Source organism: Homo sapiens, chromosome 9 (assembly GCF_000001405.40).
Source record: "Homo sapiens chromosome 9, GRCh38.p14 Primary Assembly".
Classification (NCBI taxonomy): Eukaryota; Metazoa; Chordata; class Mammalia; order Primates; family Hominidae; genus Homo; species Homo sapiens.
Window position 1 is genome coordinate 970108 of NC_000009.12, and position 23501 is coordinate 993608.

General features: G+C 47.6%; 1 protein-coding gene across 1 annotated transcript, besides 5 other annotated features; it reads left to right on the forward strand.

Annotated features, from left to right (window-relative positions):
- Nucleotides 654-1214: an enhancer, noted in NCBI's record as "H3K27ac-H3K4me1 hESC enhancer chr9:970761-971321 (GRCh37/hg19 assembly coordinates)". NCBI's record gives its function as "activates a minimal SCP1, AML or CMV promoter by ChIP-STARR-seq in naive H9 embryonic stem cells {active_cell/tissue: H9 hESC(naive)}" and the evidence as "EXISTENCE:reporter gene assay evidence [ECO:0000049][PMID:30033119]".
- Nucleotides 3328-5181: an enhancer, noted in NCBI's record as "VISTA enhancer hs112". NCBI's record gives its function as "enhancer in: forebrain[7/7]" and the evidence as "EXISTENCE:transgenic organism evidence [ECO:0001131][PMID:17130149]".
- Nucleotides 5714-6215: an enhancer, noted in NCBI's record as "H3K4me1 hESC enhancer chr9:975821-976322 (GRCh37/hg19 assembly coordinates)". NCBI's record gives its function as "activates a minimal SCP1, AML or CMV promoter by ChIP-STARR-seq in primed H9 embryonic stem cells {active_cell/tissue: H9 hESC(primed)}" and the evidence as "EXISTENCE:reporter gene assay evidence [ECO:0000049][PMID:30033119]".
- Nucleotides 6216-6715: an enhancer, noted in NCBI's record as "H3K4me1 hESC enhancer chr9:976323-976822 (GRCh37/hg19 assembly coordinates)". NCBI's record gives its function as "activates a minimal SCP1, AML or CMV promoter by ChIP-STARR-seq in naive and primed H9 embryonic stem cells {active_cell/tissue: H9 hESC(naive and primed)}" and the evidence as "EXISTENCE:reporter gene assay evidence [ECO:0000049][PMID:30033119]".
- Nucleotides 6548-21625, forward strand: DMRT3 (doublesex and mab-3 related transcription factor 3). The gene is made up of 2 exons (NM_021240.4): nt 6548-7348; nt 19934-21625. Exons 1-2 carry the CDS (start codon nt 6895-6897, stop codon nt 20896-20898), a joined length of 1419 nt encoding a protein of 472 aa, NP_067063.1. The 5' UTR covers nt 6548-6894; the 3' UTR covers nt 20899-21625.
- Nucleotides 11116-11622: an enhancer, noted in NCBI's record as "H3K4me1 hESC enhancer chr9:981223-981729 (GRCh37/hg19 assembly coordinates)". NCBI's record gives its function as "activates a minimal SCP1, AML or CMV promoter by ChIP-STARR-seq in naive H9 embryonic stem cells {active_cell/tissue: H9 hESC(naive)}" and the evidence as "EXISTENCE:reporter gene assay evidence [ECO:0000049][PMID:30033119]".
- Nucleotides 21626-23501: the final 1876 nt, after the last annotated feature.

Genomic DNA, 23501 nt, shown 5'->3' on the forward strand with positions numbered 1-23501 from the left:
GCCTCGCCTAACGCCGTTTGGTGCTGCATCCGAGCGGCCTCACGCGGTCCCCTGGAAGGGCCACTCCCAGCGGGAGGGCGGGGCCCGGGACCTGCGCTGGCCACGCAGGGTCTCAAGCTGACCGGAAGACCCGGCTTTTGGCCTGTGTCCAATAGCCCCAGAAGAGAGGGGTCTGGAGCCTTCCTCCCACGCGTAGTGACGCTCAGGTGTCCTCGGGTTGTTAGTCTTGACCCAGGAGAGTGCAAGACAGGCCCAAGGCCTGGGGGGATTGCGTTATGAATGTCCAATTCTAAACACAAGGTAGAGCACAGACAGTACATCCTCACGGCTGGATTTTAACCGTATTTTAATAAACACATTCGAGGGGGTGTCAGTTTCCCCAAGCTCTGCCCCCTTCCGCGGGCGGGATCCATGGTGTGTGCAGTGTAAGAGTGCGCAGAACGCGTGTGTTCAAGTGTGGGCGTGGCAGGCGTCGTGTGCTCGCCCCGCGCACTGTGCGGATCGCCCAGACAGCCTTGACAGGTTTTTGCAGATGTTTGGGTGCTACGGTGTGGGGAAACCCAGGCAGGAGCGCCAGGCCTAATTCTCCTGGACTCTTGGTGAGCGGCCGCTACTCCACGAGGGGCTAGAAGCAAAGGGGGCACGCGCTTTTCCCCAGGCCGCCTCTTGCTGCCGCAGTGGCTGAGGGCGCTGATGACCCCTCCCCGCTTCCAGCGGACTTGACCCGCGGGCTGACAACCCACCGCGACAAGCAGGCGGCTGGGTTCGCGCCGCCGCCCCGGGGCCCTTGGCTCAAATTTCACCTCGAGTCCTGCAGACCCTGCGCCACTGAATTGGGGCCCAGGACGCCCTTGGTGACACTCGCCTTCTTGCTGCCACAACCACCGTCATACCCGCAGCCGGGGCTCCCTCCGCTAACCACGCTTGGAGACCCCAATCGGGGACAGAGGTGGGAGTCAGACCCCCCCTGGCCTGCACTGCCGTTTCCCTCGATTCTTGCGGAAACAAGACTCCCGCCCACACATAAAAATGCAGCTCCCGGCCACCGGGCGCCGGTGGCTCACGCCTGTAATCCCAACACCTTGGGAGGCCGAGGCGGGCGGATCACTTGAGGTCAGGAGTTCGAGAGCAGCCTGACCGACTACTAAAAATACAAAAATTAGCCAGGAGTAGTGGTGCATGCCTGTAATCCCAGCTACTCGGGAGGCTGAGGCACAAGAATCGTCTGAACCCGGGAAGCGGAGGGAAGCAGCGAGTCGAGATCGCGCCACTGCACTCCAGCCTGGGCGACAGAATGAGATTCCGTCTCAACAAATAAATAGAAATAAAAATATGCAGCCCCCTCCGCTCCACTTGAACTTTAATGCTGAACCGGTTTCCCACGTATACGTGTATCGCACCGCATTTTGACGCTTTGCATCGAGTCGCATTAATGGCGCTTTTGAGAACGCGTCGTCGCGCTTTACAGAGAAACCCTACGGGCAGCCTGTGGAGGGGTAGGGGATATTCATTGGCTTTCCCTGCTGGGCCCCGTCCGCCGGGCGGGTTAGGGTCGTGGCAGCCTGCCCGCGCGCCGCTGACTCTGGAATTTTGTCCGGGAAACTGGCGTAGGGCCCTGGCTCTCCCTTCGCCCTCCGCGCACACGCGGACGAGGCCTTAGATCCACAGCCTTTTCTAGGCCCTGCGCCTTTGAAGCTGGGCCACTGCCAACCGCTCGCGATTCTCACCTTCAACAGTCGCCCCCTTACCCCTCCCCCACCCGCCTGCCCTCGGGAGCGGGTCGCCTCCACTCCACCACCTGTTTAAGTTCCTCCCCCTCGGCGCCCCTCCAGTCCCCACCCCGGCCCCGGTCCAAAAAACCAGCAAACGGAACTTTTCCACAGTTGAAAGCCGCGGCCCGCGAGGCCGGGCTGGGAGGGGAAAGCGGGGCGTGTCTGGGGGGCGGGGCCCCGAGCACTCCGGAAGTTGCCCCGCCCAGGAGGCTCCTGGGAAAGTGAGGAGAGGGCCCGGGCCTACTTTCGTCCTGGTGTGGCGCCCCTCAGCCTCCCCTCCTCCCAGTTCCCGCGCCTCCGCAGGGCGCCTCGGCCTGGCCTCCAGGCAAAGTTCGCGCCCCCTGTTCCTGGGGTGTCGGCCGCGCGGGCCGTTTCCCTTCATTACTCCCGGGCCCCTGAATCCGAACGCTTTCCCAGAAGCGCGCAAATCCGCTTGCTTTCCCCGCGGCTGGGCTTTGTTCAGGGACAGCAAAGGAGGAGGCGGGAGGCTGGTGAGGTTTTCTGGAAAAGGGGCTTGTCCCGAGGAGGAAGTGCCCCAGATCCCTGAGAGCCAACGCTCTGGGGAGAAGAAACTTTCCTTCTCCCTTGAATGTTGCTCAGATTACCTAAAATTATTTTTTCAGCCCTTGTGTTCTAAAGTCGCAGGGTAAAGGTTATCTTAAGACTTAACATCAGCGCTGCTCATTTGTACGTTGGTGGAGACGTGCCTTTTTTCCTTTGCACTTAAGGTGGACAGGGTCTGCGACGCTCCCTTCCAGGACGGTGTGGGGAAGCGGCCGACGTCCCCAGCCGGACTCACGCCCTCCTACTACTGGGCGTCGGCTCCGCCGCGGGCGCTCCCGACAGGGAGCTGGAGTCGGACGAGCGGCTGCCCCCAGGGCCTCCAGGAACCGCGGCCCAGCGGGGAGCGCCCCAGGCTAGCGCTTTTCCAGTTCCCTTCGAAAGCGCGGGGCTGAGGTCGCGGCGCTGGGCCCTCGGATGAAGCCGTGCTGTAGCTACACCTGAACCCCGCGAAAGGCTGGCGCGGTCGTGTATCCAGGCTGGGTCTGAGGAATCCGCAAGCGGGAGAGCGCTAACTCCTAGGCGTGAGCCGCTGCTGGCTTCGAGAGTTCGAGAACATGAAGGACCTGGCTTCTCCCGCCCGGTCGGCTTAGGGCCAGCGAGGTCACAGGCCGTTCTGCTCTCCCTGTTTGTCCCCAAAGGCCTCGGCACGTGGGGATCTGGAGCAGGCCTCAGGCTGCGACCCGTCTCTTCCCCTACCAAAATTATGTGGGAACAGCGGTCCAGGACCTTCCCCTGTTCAGCGGTATCCCCGGGCCGGTGACCCCGGGGTTCAGTCGTCTCCCCGACCCCAAGCGGCCTCTGCTTTCCACCCCTCGCCCCGGAGGGCGGCTTCGGGGATCTCATGGGGGGTTTGCATGAGTCTGTCCCCAGCCAACTGAGGGAGAACCAAGACATTATTGCCATCTAAAGAAATTGATTGCTGGATGCCCCACTGCCTGGCTGGACATTCCCCCAACTCCTTTCAATTTGAAGCGGGCCGAAGAGCGAGGTCGAGAAGCTGACCAGGTGAGAGCTGAGTAGTTCACGCACAGGAAGAGGGGACAAGTTTTTCTGTTTTCACAGGGGTTCCTCACGCTCAGGCTTCCAGCGTCTGCCTGCACTGACATCATCGTGGTCGCGATGAAAACAGTGAAATAGGAACCCTGACCTCCCCTTCCATGAGAATCCAGCAGAGAATTTGCTGATGTGTTATACATCCGGGACAATCGGAAACTGCCGTTTTGATTGAGTATTAGTTGGGATGAGGAGCACATACCAGGACTCCCAGATCTGGAGTCCTCACTTTCTCAGCAAGGGCACCTGCATCCTGAGCTTTTACATGTACACACACCCAGCGATTGTGTGTGCCGAGAAAGACCCACATACGCACATTGTTTTTTCCTCTTCCACGATTATCTGCCAGAATTCTACTCAGTTAATTGCGGTTTGAGAACACACCATCCACAGGAGAGCACCAATGGATCTAGTCTAGTGAGGTTACATTTACTTGTAATCCTCCCCCTTCCCTTTCCCATTTCTTTGATGATTTTTCCCATAAGTGTGTAAGCTACTGGGACTTAGTAGAAGCAGGCCGCTCCTCCTAAATGTGATTTGGACCATATGCTTTCTACATTCATTCCCGCTTCGGCTTTTCTTCTCTGCACTAACTGCTAACACGTTATAGTCACCTTGAAATTTCCTCTGCTATTTTCCAATTAAAAGCTTAATAGCCCTGGAAACGGAGTTCATGTGGTGAAGTTTACCACAGCCCCTTGTTCTGAAAGGCTTTCTGCTGGGATCCCATTATGTGCTTGAATAAACCCTTTCTGCAAACAGAAATGGGACTCGGGGTTGTCAGGTGTTGGGTTACAATAGACTTTGAGGCAGGGGACATTTTACCAACATAAATACAAACCTGTCCCTATAGGGAGATGTTGTCAAATACTGGGATATGGAAAACATTCCCATCAAATATGAGAAAAGGATTACTGCACTATATCAAATGAGTATTTAGATCTCAGCCCCCGATGTGCACCGGAGTGAAACGGGCCCCCGGGACCAAATGCCAGACTGTTTGAGTGGCAACGAGATAGGGTGGCTAGGTGACCGACGGGGGAAAAGGGGTCGCCTTGGTAGTGAAAGTGCCCCCACAAACCTGGTGCAGAGCTCTTCTGCTTTCCTTTTAAAAATTTATTCATACTCAAGTTCTTTATACTTCCTCGTTTCACTGTTTGAAGAAAATCGGAAGAAATTTGGTTTTGAAAAAAGTCGTTGGTCCCCACGTTTCCAAGAGATCCGGAGGTTTCAGCGCAATAGTTTTCAGTTAAGGTGTCATTTGAGGCCCTCTATATCGCAGCACGTTAAATGACTCGCGTCCAGCTCCCCATTTCCTAGCCTCGGGCCTACAGGGCTGGGGGCGACCTCTGCCTCCCGTCCCCAGAGCTTACAAAATTCCTTCCAGTTGTATTTTAGGGCTTGTTTTCCTAGAGAAGGTTGAGACTAGAGGAAGGATTAAAGTGGTGGGGGAAGGGGCAAGACCGAGGGGTCCCTACCCCACGCGGCTTTGGAGGATGGCCTCCCAGGGTTAGCACTCGAATGCTAGAGCTTCTTGTCCACACTCTACCAGGTCAGTGTCCCGCGATCCCCACCTCCCGGACGCGTATGAAACGGGAACAGCTAAGGGCTTCAAGGGAAACACACAACTGGGGTTCGGTTTTCAACCCTCCTCTCCGCAAATCAGCCTTCTGGGCAGAGGGTTGGCTGCTAGAACGCCTGGAGGTGCTTCCCTTGAATTCATGGCAAACACCAGAGGAAAGTTTTCAGGTTGCTTGCTTACTTCCAGGGCAGTACAGAGAAAAGCGGCCTCCCCGAGGGGACAAGGGCCTCTGTGCCCATGAGGGGTCGGACATTGCAGCGGACTTGCCTACGCTCTCATCTAGCATTTGATTCCCCACCAGGAGATGGGCTTGGTGCACGCTCTCAGAAGCGCATCCACCGAAGGCTCTGGAACTGCCCCGCTTCGCATAGAGCTATTGTGCTGCCCTGCAGTGTATCCACTTGTTTTGTTTGTTTGTTTGTTTTTTGGTTTTTGCTTGTTTGCTGATGGGCAGTGGGGAGGTGCGAGGGTGGAGGGCCTTCTTTGTGCATATATAGCGATAGTCTGCACTAGGCCAAGCCCGCTACTCCTGGGAGAATGGGAACACGCAAATAATCTAAACAAAGTTTTCTGCTGTCATCTTGTGAAGGACCCTCTCCCCCAAGACATCTATGACTGGGGTCTATGGGTTAAGGAGGTGAAAAAGTGGCCCCATCCCATATCCATAACTGAATCACAGAATCCGTGGGGATTTGAACTGAGTGGCTGGCGCAAGACCTCCGTTTGCTTCCAGTAGCTGCTGGGAGCGAGGGAAGAGGATATCGGTAACTTTGGGGGCGCCAATGTGGCTTCTGTGTCTGCCCCTTGAAAGTTTATACCCGGCGCTTAACAAATCCTTTACAGGAGCACGTACGTCCCTGACCTTTCAGGATACTGTTTTATATTAAAACATGGACAGGAGGGTAGAAAAGTAAAATTCGCCTGCAAAATGGCTTGTCATCCTTGGGCCGGCAGATCTCCAAAACCATTTTCTTCTAAAGCAACAAAAGAGAAAAAAATACGTTCTAAAAGGAAATTACGAAAAGAGCCTAACTTTCCTAAACCAACATCACTTCACTCCCCTATCCTAAACTCCACCCAGGTCCGGGGTGCAACCGCAACACTCCCGTAGGTTCGAGTTCTCCCGGAGCTGAGCTTCTGCGGCCAAATGTCGGGATAAAAGCGGCCTTGGGCTCGGAAAAACGCGGCCAGATCTGGACTGGAGGGAGGAGAAGAGAGAGAAGCGGAGCGGCCACCTCACTCGCTTACAGGCACCCCCACCCTCACTCCCGCTGGTCCTCCCCTTCTCCGCCCCGCGAGCACCGCCGCGTTCTGGAGCGCCGCAGTCTCCAGCCGCGGGCTGGGGTAGCGGAGAGGGCTTGGAGGAGGGGGCCGCGAGCGCCCCCGCGAGAGTGGCCTGGCTGCAGGTGGCAAGGAAGGTGAAGTGCAGGCACCCGAGGGGCGCAAAGGAGGAGGAAGGCGTGGGGCGGGGAGTGCAAGGAGACAGGGACCCCAGGGGCGGGGGTGGCGGTGGGAAGGAGGAGGGGTTGGGGGAGGGCGGCGGAGGTGTTGGGTCCGGCCGGCTCACGAGGGAGCTGCAGAAGAGCTGGCTCAGACCTTAATCAGAGCTGTCGCCGGCTCCTTGCAGCCGCCGCAGCGCCTCCGCGAAGGAGGACGTGCCGACCCGGCTGCGCGCCCAAGGCAGAGGCCCGCGTCGGCGTTGGCTGGGCGTGAGCTGGGAGGCCGAGCTGTGAGCGCGAAGGGAGCTGGAGAGACGACTGCGGCACCTCCGGCCGCCCCGGAGCACACACGACCACCGGGGCTGCGGGACCAAGGGCCGCGTCGCCCGGAGGCCGCCCCTGAGCGGGCCTCGCAGCCCCGCCGTCCAGCGCTCCCTGGCCCTCTCCCGCAGCCAGGCTGCCAACTCATTCGGGAGCCCGGGGCATGAACGGCTACGGCTCCCCCTACCTGTACATGGGCGGCCCGGTGTCGCAGCCGCCACGGGCGCCCCTGCAGCGCACGCCCAAGTGCGCGCGCTGCCGCAACCATGGCGTCCTGTCCTGGCTCAAGGGCCACAAGCGTTACTGCCGCTTCAAGGACTGCACCTGCGAGAAGTGCATCCTCATCATCGAGCGGCAGCGGGTCATGGCTGCGCAGGTGGCGCTGCGCCGGCAGCAGGCCAACGAGAGCTTGGAGAGCCTCATCCCCGACTCGCTGCGCGCTCTGCCAGGGCCCCCGCCGCCGGGGGACGCCGTCGCCGCCCCGCAGCCGCCGCCAGCCTCTCAGCCGTCGCAGCCGCAGCCGCCGCGCCCTGCTGCCGAGTTGGCCGCGGCCGCCGCGCTGCGTTGGACTGCCGAGCCGCAGCCCGGGGCTCTGCAGGCGCAGCTCGCCAAGCCAGGTAAGAGCGTCTGAGGTGCGGGAGTTTGGCCGGGCGCGGGGGCAACTTCGGAGTGCCAGCTGCAGCTCCACTTGGGAGGACTGGAGGCAAAGTTTTGGGACGTGGGCCTGTCGGGGCTTTCCTTCCTACTCTCCGCCAGGCCGGGGCTTCCTCTCCCGGGAGAAGCCGGCTGAGTCTGGACCCAGCGCGAGTGGCACTCGCGCCCGCAGGGAAGGCGCCTCCGGGCAGCCAAACGACGGGACTGTGCGTCAGTATCGCCAGGTGCCTTCCCAGGTTGAAGGGTTCGGAACGTGTCAGATTGAGCAGGGAGACAACGGAGTTGAGACAGGACAAAATTAAAACCCACGTGCGCACACTCACTACGGTGGGGTCGGATTTTCCTGGCTGCAGGCTTTAGAGGTCCTTGCCATTTGGGGGTTGGAATGGGTAGGTAGGTGTAGGGAAGGAGCCAAGGCCAACACTCGGCTGAGTCGAGCTGGCTGTGCTTCTCGGCCGGCCCGGCCCTGCCCAGGGCCCAGGAAAATTTGAGTGAGGACAAGTATCCAACTCTCAGAACCCTGGCCTTTCTAGCTTTGCTCCGTGGCCTCCAGACTCTTGTAACTGGTGAAATAAGTTCCATTTAGCAATGATAGTAAAAGGGTCCGGAAAGGCTTGTGAGCTGATAGCGGGAAAAGAATCTGATGCGCCCAGAATTCACTCCTTTGCAGAACCTCCTAGATCCTTTAACACTGTTCCCCAGGCTGCCCTCAGCTGTCTTCGTGGTTTAAAGGAATACAAAAAATCTGATCCCCCACCACCCATCCGTTTCCATCCAGGCCTCCTGAGCTTGGCAGGCCTGAGTTGAGTCTCTTAGTCTCTCTCTTCCTGGGGAATTTCTAGCTTGCGGTTCTGCCCAGCTCAAGAGCTCTTTTGATGGCTCTTGGAATTCAGTGGATATGTGTTTGGTGTTTCTCCTTAACTGGGGCAAATGTGCAAAGGAACACAGCCCACCTTCTCCCGGAAGGGGGCATGCTGGAATTAGGAGTGGGAAGGTCCAGAGCCCTCCTGTAAGTAGAACTGTGGCAAAACTGGTACCTACACTGACCTGCCAACTCCCTAAAGACGGTACCCCTAGCTTCGGAGAAAGGCTTTCAGGAGCCCAGGACTGCTTTGTCTGGATCCTGTGGAGCTGAGGAAGTGAGGCGGACTCACCTGTTTCATGGTGAGTCAACGGGTGACTGGCAGGTGGAGTTCTGCTGCCCTGTCTTTCCGCCATGCTTTCCAGGCCTGAAGCTCTGAGAACAGCCTGTGTGACAGTAGAGCTGGGAATTTTAAAGCCTGAAGAGAGTTTGCCGAACTTGGATTTTGTGGATATTTAATCCAAGTTAGCATATAAACGTTTCTCAGAAATGATCGCCAGTTGTCTCTCTTTTGTCTGTCTCATCTTTTTATATTTATGGATTTGTCACAGACGAAGAGGAGGGAGGAGAAAAAGGTTTTATTATTTTTCTCCCATAGGTTTGAACAAATAACAAGGAAGAGTTTGGTCTCAGCTCTAGAATTGGATTTGTACCAATATATTTTCTTAATTTTTTTCCATTTCCAGCTTCTCTGGTTCCGTTTCCCCCAGGACTAGGGCAGAGGCCTGAGTTAACATCAGAGGTTAACTCAGCAGCACTCCTGTGATCGGGCATTGGGTTCTGTGGTTTTTATCCAAGGAGATGCCTTTCACATCCTGTGTTCTTCAGAGTATTCTTTGGGATAGCTAAAGTTCATGATTTCTAAAGAGTCACAAAACTAAAAACACAACCCCAGGAGGAGGAGGAGTGAGGGCAGGCAGGAAGGCAGAGTAGGCAGCGGCAGCAGGATACGTGCTTTGGGAGAATAGAAAAAGGAAACGGATCTCAACTGGACAAAGCAGAGCTGTGCTGTTTTACTCCTACTTAGCACTCAGGGATAGCCTGAGCCTTCCGAATTGAAAACAAGTAATTGCAAAGGAGAATAGGATTTATCACAAGGCGAGGTCCAAGTGAGGACTTTGGGGGACCGAGGCATCAGGGACCAAGGGCTCAGTTTCCAGCTGGTCACCCCCACCCCCCCATACCTTGTACATTGATGTACACAACTTTTGTTTTCTTCTTTCACTTGCTGTGACCCCATAATTCCCATTTTTTTAAAAAAAAGCAAATCACCACTCTGATGGGGAGTGGGGAGAAAGGTAGGAAAATAATAGATGATTGTTTAGGAAGACAGGCATACAAGTGGATCCATTCTACACAGTGCTTGTAGAAATAAAGTCTATTTGGGGTTTAAGCTGAAGAAAACTGCTCACTGAGACTGCCTGTTGCTATAGGTATTATACCCTTTTTGCAGTTGTTCTAATAATGTATTTGTGTATAACATTCCATATGTATTTAGAAGCATATCAGAACTACTCCTGAATAAGTGCAGAGAGTAAGCAAAACTAAGTGCAGAGAGTAAGCAGAACTCTATTGGAATGGTAGTTCCACATGTACATTAAGTATACAGACCATCAGAAATCTTTCAATATCTGCTGGCAATGTAGATCTATTACTTTGTGAACTTTGACTTTGAAATGTGGTTAGTCTTTTTGCGGGGCAAAGGACCTCTTTAATACATAAGCTGTGAAGAGAGATTTTTTTTTCTTGTAAACAGAAGCACATGGAGTCTTTCCTCTCCAGAAATCTTTGAGAAAAGCACATGCCTTAAGGAAGAGTATGTTTGCTGTGAATCACTGGAGGAAAACCACCCCGTTGAGGGAGTGACATATTCACATCAAAACTCAGTTTTGTAACTGGAAGAATTTTTTCTCAAATTCTGCTTTAGATTCTTTAAAGGAATGGGGTTATTTTATCTAATGGTGTAGTATGTTGAATATCCCTTTCAATGTGTGGTGTTTTTAAGGAGAATTTTCATATTCTAGTGGTTTTTACTTCTAGTTATGAAGTATTCTTTTTTCTTTTTGAATGTAGATTTCTCCTTCTCTTTGATTACCATCTACGATGGACCTGGAATTAATTATTAGATTTTGATTGAGCTGAACATTTTGATTTAAGCTATGTATAGATATATTAAGCTATATATATCTATTAAAAGCTATATATATAGCTTAAATTTAAATTCTAATTTAAGCTATATATGTGTGTGTATATATATATGTATATATACATACACTATTTAATTCATTTATTCTTCTCCTAAATTCCCTCTATGTTCTTCTCATACTCCTTCTCCCCATGAAAATACAGGAGGCATGAAGATCTTCCAACTGTTAGTGTATCTGAATCAGCAGTTTTAATCAGCCTAGCCAGCCTTTCAGGACGTGGGCTCAAGAGCTGAGGGAAGTTAAGGGTCACTGCCAAGGTGAAAAGCTAAAGTTACATTCTTGTGTTGTGGCTCCCTTCCCTACCCCCAACTTTTCCTCCAGGGGAGTGTCCTCGGACACCTTAGACTGTGGTGCGATGAGAAGAAAGATCTGTGGCTGTAGACTCTTCCTAGGTCTCCATCTGCCATCAAAATGAATATGTACACACATTCTTTTAAATGCTTTTAAAAGGAAAAAGAAATCGAAAACATGGTTAGGAATAAGAGAGAAGGATCAAATGGGAAAGTAGGATCTTCTTTCCTGTTTATTTCTTAGGGGGTGGGGGCGGAGCAAACAAGATAACTATAGGGGGAGAAGTTAGGAGATTTTGGAAAACTGCCTTTATTTTATTTTTTCCTCTTGCCCTGCGCCTCCTAGCATCTTTATGCTTGCCTCTGGGCTTTTCTGCTCCGGCTTGACTGGGTCCCGCAAAGTCCACTTCCTTTTTTTTTAATTTTTTTTTCCCCCAAAGAGAAGCACCTGCAAGTGTAATGGGTGTTACGGAACACTCGTCCAGGCCAGGATGAGAAACCCTCTGACTGTTGGCTAGGAAGAAAAGAAAAGCGGGAAATACTTAAAAACCATTTATGAAGTGTACCTGTGAATTGAAAAACAGGGTCTCATTTTAAGACAGCTTGATTTGAGGGTGAGGGGCTTGACTCAGTTGCATTTTAAAAAACAAAACCCAACCAAATAAAAAGGAATACGCATACAGGCACTAAGGTCTCTTCCAAACCCCACCCCAGGGCTGGCTCTTGGGGCTGGGATGCTGCTGGGGACCGGTCTTCCCAGCTCTTGGCCTGGCCGGTTTGCACGCAGTGCAGTTGCTGTGTGTGTGTTGCGGAGGGTTGCGGCAGCTGGCCCAGGACTGGGACCCTGGCCACAGCGGGTTCAAAGTAGGGGCAAAGATAGGGGGCAGCGGCTCCTTGCGGCCGCAATGGACTGCCGTCTCCTTGCACCAGGGGGTCGGAGCTGCAGCTGAGCCCAGCTTCTCGCCGCCTGCTGGGGACGGCTCTTTCCTTGGTCACTGTCAGGAAGCAGCTCACTAGGCAGCTCAGGAACCGCCCAGAGACAGCCACATCCCTTGCCTTTCCCTTGCCCAGCTCTTGGGCCACCACTCCCTCTCTGCTCTTCCTGAGCTTCACTACCCTCTCCTTCCCAAGGCAGGAGTCCCGAGGTGAGTTGACACCTTCTGCAAAAATCATGCAAACAAAAAATAGGATGCCAATATTGCATGGGACATACTTTCTCTAGAAAGCCTTCTTTGTTTATTTGATGGTCCCACTTAACTGGACATCCTGTTATTTTATCTGGCAACCATAGGCCTAGGCCTTCCTCACCCAGCCCCAGTACCCACGCAGGGCACCCCTTGGCGGTGGGGTCGCCTGTGCTCATCTCCTAGTTCTTTCTCTGCAGAGCCCGAGCTGCCTGGGACTGGCGTCAGGGAGGTGCTGGGGTCCATCCTGTGGATCTGGGACGGTTTGGCAGGAAAAACGAGAGTGTGTTCCACGTCTAGGAACCAGAGTTCTACTGCCATCTGGGAAAGAACCTCTCTCCACCTCCAAATCACTCCTTGGTGTTATAAATCTGGAGGATAGCCGTGCTCTCGACTTACACAACCAACTTTTCTTTTTCCCTGATGGATGAACTCCCGGGTTTAAAAGATTACAGTAATCACAGGAGGACAGTGTGAATCGAATCTGATAGCAATAACTTTCGGAGAAGGTCAGGCTCAAGTGAAATGTTACCAAGCAACAGGCATTTTGTTTGCAAAATACAATCAAAGAGCATTGATGAGAAATTCTTTGCTGCAGCCAGTCAGCACTTTCTGCTAACAGCTTTACAGAGAGAAAAGGAATAAATCTTCATAAATCAAAGTCCCTGGAGGACTCGGAGCCCTTTTCTGGAAATGTTGCACTTCTTCCTGACGGGAAGGAGGACTAAGCCCAGCAAAAAACCATGGGCCTGCCTGCCCTGCCTGCCCGCCTCCTCTTTCTTTCTCTTCCTTTCTTCCTCGCCTCTTGCTTTTTTCCTTTCTTCCCGCCTTTAAACCTGTTGCAGCCCCTTAGCCATTAGCTGCTCAGGTCCTTGGACCTCCTTGTCTAGTCCTGTGTGGCTCTGATGGCTTGTGCACGGGTGCTCATGGCAGAGGTGGAGGATGCAGTGATAGGACAGCTGGTCCTCACAGGTCCACCGCCTTGTGATTGTGTCAGTTACGTCCCACATCGCCTTAGTGAGTCATCCTCTTGCCTGAGCAATGCATACTACTGTTCTCAGAAGGGAAACTAAAATAACTAGGTATGGGGTTTTTTTGCATTTTATTGCATAAACAGCTATAAAAGGCACAATCAAGTACCAAGTAACAATAATAATAATGAAAAACTTAAGAGTCGGCACATCAATTCTTTACAAAATCTCCAATCTCTTGATTACAACAACTAGGCAGACATAAATTTTACAGAGCTGGGATTAGTGTTCCACGTTTTTCCCACTGATTATTACTTTGTTTAGTTCAGTATATATCTCTAGCACCCATAATCTTTATATGTAAGCATTTAAAACAATATTTCCTCCTGTGAAGACACCATGGTCTGCCCAGCTGCTATCCTTGGAATTATTTGCTGTATTTCACTGTGAAATATAACCAACTGCAGCTTACTTGGAATTTTGCAAAAGATTAGTTAGTAAACTGTATGCCTCTCAGTGGTCAAGAGGCAATGCTTTGATCATCTCTGTATGATCTTACCCAGCACAGTACATGAGAGCATAGTAAGGCATTTAGGGGCATTTGTTAAATAGATGGATGAGTTAGACAGGTGCATTTTGGAAGGTACCAAATAAACATGTAGATTTGTAGGTAATTTCCCCTCTGCTTCTTGGAAGGTATTCCCTTCTGAGTCAAGAAAGAGATCAAAACTAATTTTTTACAAAATATGTGAGGTCCACAGTTGCAAACCATACTTCCTTCAGCCCAGTCCTGTCTATAGCAATATTCCCCCAAAATATAGTGTCAAGGAACCACTCTGATTCCTTCATACGTTATTAATTCAGTGTTGTTAATGATTTTTTAAAAAGTAAAGCATGGCTAGTTTTTTTTTTTTTTTTAACTTTTCACAACCCTCCCCAACCCGGCAATCCACCCCAGGAAGAAAAGGAAAGTTTTTAGATCGAGATCATTCCCTGGTGTTCTTTAGATTTTCAACTATTCATTTTTTTAAAATAATTCATCACTTCTAGTGTGAGATGAAGGTAAGAGAAAATGTGAAGCGTTTGTCTACGATTAGAATTCTGATTAGGCAATGGTCTCCTGTAAAAGTCTCATCCTGCCTGGGCTCCCTCCCTTGCCATTGTTGTAAGATTTATGTGCTTTGAAAACTACCCATCAAGGACCTGTTATTTACAGGTGTGTTCCCCACAGCTCAAGTGAACAGATGAGGATATGACAATCTATGTTTCAAAATGCGTGACATGATTTCAAAAGGGATGGGGGAGTCCAGTGACTTTTGAGCTAGGAAATATTCCTCTCTGCTCGAGTTTTTCTGTGTTTTCATTCTGTATGTAAGAACTATTTTGTTTTCGTAGATATAATTGGATAGAATGGATATAACCTATGACATCTAAGTCAGAAAGATTTTTCACATTTTTTTTTTTTTATTTAGACAGTCTAATTCTGTCGCCGCAGCTGGAGTGCAGTGGTGAGATCTGCAGCTCACTGCAAGCTCTGCCTCCCGGGTTCACGCCATTCTCCTGCCTCAGCCTCCTGAGTAGCTGGGACTACAGGCACCTGCCACCATGCTCGGCTATTTTTTTTTGTATTTTTAGTAGAGATGAGGTTTCACCATGTTAGCCAGATGGTCTTGATCTCCTGACCTCGTGATCCACCTGCCTCGGCCTCCCAAAGTGCTGGGATTACAGGTGTGAGCCACCGCGCCCAGCCAGATTTTTCACTTTTATGCATCGTGAGCAGAATGTTTGTTTCTCATATGTGGTAGACTTTCTCAAAGTATTTGAAATAATACATTTTTTTTTTACTAAATTGCATTTTTATGTGAAAAACTCCCCTAAAGAAAGTTACATTTTCAAACTGTAATTTTAGATTGAAAGCACTTTTGTGAGTGTTTATTTTCTCTCTTTAAAGTCTTGTAGCAAAAAAAGAAAAAAAAGTATTGTAGTCATCTTATGGCATATATATTTTGAAGTCGGTAGCATTGTTATCTGTAGAAAAACTTTTCTTTTTAATTGAATATCTACTTCTTTTAAAAACCTCTTTACCCTAGTGCACAGTTTATTTCAGGGATAGCTATAAGTGTTTCTACCCCATGAAATATGAAATGGAAGAGAGAATATTAAGATTTTAAAAATATGTACATGTTTAGCAATAGAAACAGCATATTGTATCACTTTCAGTAATATTTGTCATATTCGATAAAATTGATTTCTTCCCTGTTTAATAGCTTTGACTTTCTATACCCATCTACCGGGGTAAAAATATTATCAGTTGATATACACTCTTAATGTTCTAGGAATTAGGGTTTCAGTTTCAAGAAGAAAGAAGGTAAAATGTTTCAGGAGTATTTCCTATTTTATTTTGTTAGTTGGCAGTTTCACATTTCTATGTCTAGAAAGGCCTTTATGTTTTAAACCAACTAGAATGATTTGTAAAGTTTATTTAAGAACAAATCTGGAGATGTAAAGAAGTACCTGTTATTAAATTACACTTTATCACTGGGCTCAAAACTCACCCTCTATAATTACCTGTGAAAGTCTGTATTTATAATAGAATAATTTACAATATATTTAGTTTAGGTGCAATAATACAACCAGTACTAGACACCATAGCGCCACAAAATTGCAGGAACTATATATCCTGCCCTTCAGAAATTATTGTTTGGTGAGGAGTTATTCTTGGTGCAAAGTTAGAGGCTAGTCTTCCTTTGCCTAGTTTTGAAACTCCAACAGCCTTACATGTTGATGGGGATTTGGCTCACCCAGCACTACTTAGCAGGACCTTGTGTGCGGCTCAGGTGCATAAGCCTCACAGGTGTGCTCTGCTTGTTCTTTCATCATCTTTGTCTTTCCTTTGAACACAGTGTAAGCAGTGCTGAGCTCAGCTGGTTGGTTGGTTTACGCTGAATTTGTAGATTTGATTCCTGTGACATTGTGTTAGCTTTTCTCATATTTTGGCTATAGCCAGACGGCACAGAGACCTGCGGAGAGAGCATGGAGGATTCGGTGTAATCTATCACCACTCCTTGACAAGTAACCAGAAGTGCATGATGCACTAGCATGTCCCAGTAGCAGGGGCAAAGGGTAACACAACAAAATGAGAAAGTGACTTTCACAGTCTGAGAGTTCACAATTGCTGAACAAGCTGGCACTGACATAAGATTCCACTACCGTCTGTTCCGCAGAACTTAGGAAAATAGGTACAAGAGTGGAATTTTATATTGTCAGACTTGTAATCCTGGTATCAAGTATTCAGTTGATTGGGACAGTATATCTGTTGCTACCTTGAAAAAAAAAAGCCTCCATTTTTGTAATGGTAGAGTCATTATGTTAGTGAGAACCTCATTCCCTAATTCCCCTTTCAGTTAGCCTTCTGCTGTTTGATCCACTTTTTTTCTGGAGACTGAAGTGTACTGTGGAAGAGTCAATTTGGTTGACAGACCTGAGAAAACACTTCCTAATATGTTTTCAGTGTTTGAAACTTATCTAAAGTGGGGGCAGGGGATGTACCTTTTAAAACACAAAGCTATTTGGTTCATATATTTCTTTTAAAAATAGTTGAGCTGGCCGGGCGTGGTGGCTGACTCCTGTAATCCCAGCACTTTGGGAGGCTGAGGCGGGTGGATCATGAGGTCAGGAGTTCGAGAGGAGCCTGGCCAACATAGTGAAACCCTGTCTCTACTACAAATACAAAAATTAGCTGGGTGTGGTGGCACACACCTGTAGTCCCAGCTATTCGGGAGGCTGACGCGGGAGAATCACTTGAACCCAGGAGGCAGAGTTTCCAGTGAGCCGAGACCATGCCACTGCACTCCAGCCTGGGTGACAGAGTGAGACTCTGTCTCAAAAAAAAAAAAAAAGTTGAGCTTTGAGCTTTCCAGCTGTGCCTATGTACGCTTTATTCCCAAGAAGGACTAGTTGTTTCTCTTGCTTAAAAAAATCTCTTCATTCTCTATATTACTATGACACTGTGTGGCATATATTTTTCTTTTTTTATTGTGGTAAAGTATATATAACATAAAGTTTACAATTTTAACCATTTTTAGGGGCACAATTCAGTGGCATTTATTCAAAATGTTGTGCAACCATCACCACCATCCATCTTCAGAACCTTTTCATCATTCCAGACGGAAACTCCATACCCATGAAACAATAACTCCCCATTCCCTTTTCCTCCAGCCCCTGACAACCACCACACTACTTTCTCTCTGAATTTCCCTATTCTTGGTATCGAATATAAGTAGAGTCATACAGTATTTGTCCTTTTGTGTCTGGCTTATTTCACTTAGCCTAATGTTCTCAAGGTTCATCCATGTTATAGCATGTATTGGAATTCCATTCCTTTTTAAGGCTGAATAATATCCCACTGTGTGTGTGTGTGTGTGTGTGTGTGTGTGTGTGTGTGTGTGTGTACACCACGTTTTATACATTCATGCACTGATGGACATTTGGGTTGCTTTCACCTTTTGGCTATTGTGAATGCTGCTGCCATGAACATTGGTATACAATGTGTGTCATATTTGAGGCTTAGCAAATGCTGCCAGGCCCTGTTTGCTTCTTCTCCTGCATGTGTGTCTTATTTCCCCAGCTAGAAGATAAGGTCCATAAGCTAGGTGTGGGTCTTACACTTCTTGGTGTTTTTCATCCTTTATTCTGTTTCTCCCAGTATCGTGCAGAAATATAAATACTTGGTGCTGATAATTACGCTAAAATTAAAAAATAAGGAAACTGTTTAGAAGTACATAGTATTTTAAAGAAGTACTTTATGTCCATATTTACATGGGGAGAGTATTTGACTTGTTTTTCCAATTTCTAAAAGTGATAGTATATTAATATGCTATCACTTTTCAAGTGTTTAATAATTTTCAAATGTTTAATAATAGAGTAACAGCCAAGAAGTATGTATGGGTCATGAGTCAGGAACATTTAAATAGATCTAGCTGATTATAAAGTAAATCTATAGAAGCCTTTTTGTTGCTGTTTTTCTCTTTTGAATCAAGGACATGAGTTCAAATACCACATTAACTCAAGAGGTAAAAGCTGTGTCCCCCATCCTAAGAAGTTGTAGGAGAGAATATGTCAAATTTCTCTTACAAAAATAGAGTCATTCTACAGTAGAGTCTTTCTATAGAGTCATTATATAAAGTGAAGATGGCTTCATATGTATGTGACGCAAATGAACCTCTCATTGGAAACCTTATATTTTATATTAAAAAAGAAGCAGTTTAATTAAAATGCAAATTTGGGATAAGTATGAATTCCTATCAGATGTATGTTGACACTTGCACTGAGGTAATTGAAGAGTGTTTTAAAGTGTATTTACTTATGTTTGCCACATATTTATTGCTTTGTTAAAGGCCAAAGTTTTGGTTTTTGGTTACATCTGAGATACATCCTGTATTAGAAGAATGTTTCTAAGTAGGCCTTTAAGGCTTTTAAAATAAATAACAAGTGTAGGAGAAGATGGTTTCTAGAAGGTGCTTTGATGAAATTTCACAAAGTTTTGTTTTTTGGTTACACTTAAGATACACCTGTATTAGAAGAATGTTCATAAGTAGGCCCTTAAGGCTTTTAAAATGACAAGTGTAGGAGAAGATTGTTTCTAGAGGGTGCTTTGATGAAATTTCACCGGCTGGCTATCTGTATATAATCAGGTGTGCCCACAGAGAAGGCAACAATGAAGCTATTCAGGCAGGGCAGCAGAAAACACAGGCAAAGCAATTGTTTACAACTCAACAACTGGGTCATTAGGAATTTTCATCTTTCGATCAGCTACCCTGGCTTTGAGTAGCCACAGCCAGCGCGTGTTTCAAAAAAGGACAAAACTCTATTTGCAAATAGCTTGCTACTAAAAAATATGTTTCTTTATTATAAAGTCCTGTTGGAATTTACTACTGCAAAGCAAACCACTCTGACTTACTCTTTTCTGTGTGCTTAGCCCTGCAATATTACCAGCTGTTAAGTAAAAATGTTCTTAGGTCAAGATGTTAAATTTGCAACTGGTTTACTTTATCGCAAGTCTCTGCTTTATTTGGGAAGCCTTTTTTTCCCTCCTTCTTCTTTTCATATAATATAAAAAGGTATCTTCAAATTTCACTGGCTTTAAAAAAAGGTATCTTCAAGTCCTTTCCATGAACTGTACCAGCAAAACAGTTCATGCACAGGTATCTGCCTCGTGCCACCCGTGGCGGTGGAGTGTGATGCGTTGTTTCATTGATGGATAATAATGCCCCCGTGCAATTTAACAAACCCTTTCTAGCCACTTCCTTTTTTCCTCTCCAGCAACTTATCCTGCCATCCGGAATTCATAGCTGGTTTCGTTTGCTTTCTAGTACAAGTTATTGGCAACCAAGTTTGCCAATGCCTCAAGTGGCTTCTTATGAAAGATTTCAATGGATAGAGGTATCTTTCACTTCAGCAATTGAATTAGCTAGCTATTGTATATGGTAACCTGATGCAACTTACTGATTGGTTCATAAGACATATTTAACACAAAATCAGCCTATGGGAAAATAGATTTCAGATATTAAAATTCCCTGTGGGTATCTGGATGGTACTATCCCTAGATAACAGCTGGGGACCTTATTTGCAGAAGAGGAGCCGGAAGACAAGCTGAGCTGATTTTCCTGTTTCTCCCTGAGCTTTGCTCTTCCAGGAGTCCCCCACCCCTCCTCCCAAAGAGGCTCTCTATTGAGATTGTTACTGCTATGAAAGCCATATGTTACAGGTTCATGTAGCCATTCTATGTTGAAGGCAAGCTTCCTTGCACAAAGCATTCCAGGAAGCCACTCTGATTTCTAGATCTTTATTTACAGGGTTTTTGTTTCATTTGCCAGTGATATAGTTCGAATTTTTTTAAAAAGGCTTGTAGTATATTATGACCCATTGAGATGCATTTGCTCTTCCAAAAAGCACGTGTACAGGTCTCTTCTGAGCACATCTGCTCCTCTTTATGCACACCAGGAAAAGATTAACTCAGCTGTTCTGTTTTCCAGATTTGACTGAAGAACGACTTGGAGACGGCAAGTCGGCAGACAATACAGAGGTCTTCAGTGACAAAGACACTGACCAGAGGAGTTCCCCAGATGTGGCAAAGAGTAAGGGCTGCTTCACCCCTGAGAGCCCTGAGATAGTGTCCGTGGAGGAAGGGGGATACGCTGTCCAGAAAAACGGAGGCAACCCCGAGAGCCGCCCTGACAGCCCCAAGTGTCACGCGGAGCAGAATCACCTCCTGATTGAGGGCCCCTCGGGGACTGTTTCTCTGCCCTTCAGCTTGAAAGCCAACAGACCGCCGCTTGAAGTGTTAAAAAAGATATTCCCCAACCAGAAGCCAACGGTGCTTGAGCTCATCCTCAAGGGCTGTGGCGGGGACCTGGTGAGCGCCGTGGAAGTCCTTCTGTCCAGCCGATCCTCAGTCACGGGAGCAGAGCGAACTTCCGCAGAACCTGAGAGTCTAGCGTTGCCCTCCAATGGGCACATCTTTGAACACACCTTGAGCTCCTACCCCATCTCGTCTTCCAAATGGTCTGTGGGATCAGCCTTTCGAGTCCCAGACACGTTGAGGTTTTCTGCCGACTCTAGCAACGTTGTCCCCAGTCCCTTGGCTGGGCCTCTGCAGCCCCCTTTCCCCCAGCCACCCCGGTACCCGCTGATGCTGAGGAATACTTTGGCGAGAAGCCAGTCGAGCCCCTTTTTGCCCAATGATGTCACCCTGTGGAACACCATGACGCTGCAGCAGCAGTATCAGCTGAGGTCCCAGTATGTCAGTCCTTTCCCCAGTAACTCTACCAGCGTCTTCAGAAGCTCGCCCGTCCTTCCTGCCCGCGCCACGGAAGACCCTCGGATTTCCATCCCTGATGATGGGTGTCCATTTGTGTCAAAGCAGTCCATTTACACCGAGGACGACTATGACGAGAGGTCTGACTCCTCAGACTCTAGAACACTCAACACATCATCTTAAAGTGGTGCTGGATGGGTGGTGGCCAGGTGACATTTTCTGTGCGTTTTGACCCTGAGGCATCTGAGGAGAGGCCACATCTTGTGTATGCCCTTTCCTTCTGTTTGACAAAGTGACTGTGCTTGATTCTATACATTAGCAATAAAAACATAACTTATTTAACTTCTTGCACTTCACTGGAAAATGCCAAATAGCTCTGTTCTGTGGCTTTAGTGCTGAATGTTTATTGTAAAAGAGAGTCTAATGTTAAGAATAGTCTTGGGAAGGCTGGGTCCGTGGAAGATTTATTTGGGGATGTAAAGCTGAAGGTCAGCCTTGCACCTAAACCCAACCTGGAATGTTAAATGAAATAATATACTTGAATGCAATTTTGTAAAAGTGGATTCCTCAGGATATGTGAAACCTAAAGGAAGTGGTTCTGTTGCAAATGGACTATAAACAGGGACATTATATTCTTACACTAAAAATCCTTGCATTTTAAAGAGAGATGCACTTAAGAATAGAGTGAACTGCTCATATGCTTATTTAAGCTTGGACAGTTTTCAGAGACAAACCCCATTAAGAATTACTCTTTTCACATGGCTGAATCGAAACATGTGTAATGTCAATGTAAAACCAATCACAGCTGTGAACTGCATGAAATGTATTGTGAAACGAACACAAGATTAAGCTTTGTCAGGTTAATGTAGCATGTTAAGGACTCTAGAAAAAAATAAACTAAGGAGACGAGCGTGGTTTATGTCATTTCTACTTGTGGAAAGAGGATCTCTAAAAATAGAAACTTGATGTAAAAATGACTTTTACTAACGCATGGGCCAGGAATCAAATTATCAGTTAAATGAGACATTCCTGAGAAATATGAATGGCAAAGTTTTAGGGTTGCATTCAGAAAGATAATTTGTTCAAAATGGAGTTAATTCTCTCCATCCATTCACTTATTCAACAGATACTTACTGAGTGCCTACTATGTGTAAGAGAATGTGCTTTCCATGTATTGTCCAAGTTACCTACCCGTGAGTCCTAGATAAGCAGATATTTTAGTGGAGAATCCCATTGAAAACAAAGTAAAAATGGAAAACTCCCAACAATGTATAGTTGAGTGTGGGAAGCAAGGAAAGTGCTTAGCCCAGTACCTGACATAGGAAGTATGCAGTCCATGAAAACTACTGCTTCTATTAATGAAATTCAGTAGCCTTGCATTCAGAATATAGACGTGCATTCCTTCATTCTTACTTGGAGACCATGCCATTCTGGTTTGAGGCAAAACATTGAAAACCAGGGCTTTTTTCTTTCGTTTTAAAAACATTCTTGAGGTGCTGTATATGACAAACTTCTTGCTCAGATTTTTTTTTTTAGAGAGAAGTTTCAAACAGTAACATTCAGTGGTGCTCACACCAACCACTTCTCTGACTTACTGTTTCCATTTTTCAAAGTGCTTGAAAGGTAAGATGACTGCTTAGGTCAGACAATAAACTTACAAATGTGGAAGGGAAAGTAAATAAGCAAATAAATAAAAGCCTCTACATGACAAGGATGCAGAGAGAGCTCCCAGTGCAGGAATAAGTCTTAAAAGGTTCTTCGGTCCTCGGAGGGAGAAGGGCAAGTTCTCTCAGCCTGAGATGCTCCCCACCCTTGAATGGGTTCCCAAGAGAAGGGAGATATGTAAAAGAGCCTTCTCATTTTTAATTCCACTGGGCACTTTTGACATGAAAAACCTTTGAGGAGAAAAAATCCCCTGTATTAGTTGGACTACTATGTATTTAATTGACATAGTTACATACTAGAGTGTTTAAATACGGGCCAGGCATGGTGGCTCATGCTTATAATCCCAGCACTTTGGGAGGCCGAGGCAGGCAGATCGCTTGAACTCATGAGTTTGAGACCAGCTTTTGTATTTTTGTCTCTACAAAAAATACAAAAATTAGCCAGGTGTGGTGGCATGTACCTGTAGTCCCAGCTACTTGGGAGGCTGAGGTGGGAGGATGGCTTGAGCTGGGGAAGCAAAAGTTGCAGTGGACAGAGATTGTACCACTGTACTCTAGCCTGGGCCATAGAGCCAGACCTTGTCTCAAAAAAAAAAAAAAAAAAAGGGAAATATGGCTTCTTGTTAGGGTTATATTTAAACATTAATGTTTATATAAGGAAGAAAGGGAGTAGAAGGGAGAGCAGTTTGCCCCCTGATTCTAAAGACATGTCCAGGACATTTTATGTGGCAATGAAGTGCTGATGTCTGGACCTATCTAGGACAAATGTATTTTAAAGGCATCTTCATTGCAAAAGTTTACCCACATTTAACAAGCAATAATGATAATGTACCACAGCACCTAAGCCAAGATGCTAAAAAGCCTGTCCTCAGATATTACATCTTCAGGTTGAACCACCCAAATTGAACAAAACCTCACTGATAACGGCATCCTTACAGCTTGATTTTGCCTATAAATAATTATCATTGGCCTCTCTATGATGGCCAGCAAAATGGAATTATCTGTAAAGCAATTTATTTGTGGGCTAGTGCAGGTATGTTTGATCCTCAATATAATCTGAAAAAAGAGGCTTGGTGTGGTGGCTCATGCCTGTAATCCCAGCATTTTGGGAGGCCGAGGTAG

What these genes read in the sequence shown, in the direction of transcription:
- DMRT3 (NM_021240.4), top strand. Translation starts at nt 6,895, where the DNA reads ATGAACGGCTACGGCTCCCCCTACCTGTACATGGGCGGCCCGGTGTCG. An exon ending in GGCGCAGCTCGCCAAGCCAG is followed by an intron (nt 7,349 to 19,933) that starts GTAAGAGCGTCT and finishes TCTGTTTTCCAG; the next exon opens with ATTTGACTGAAGAACGACTT.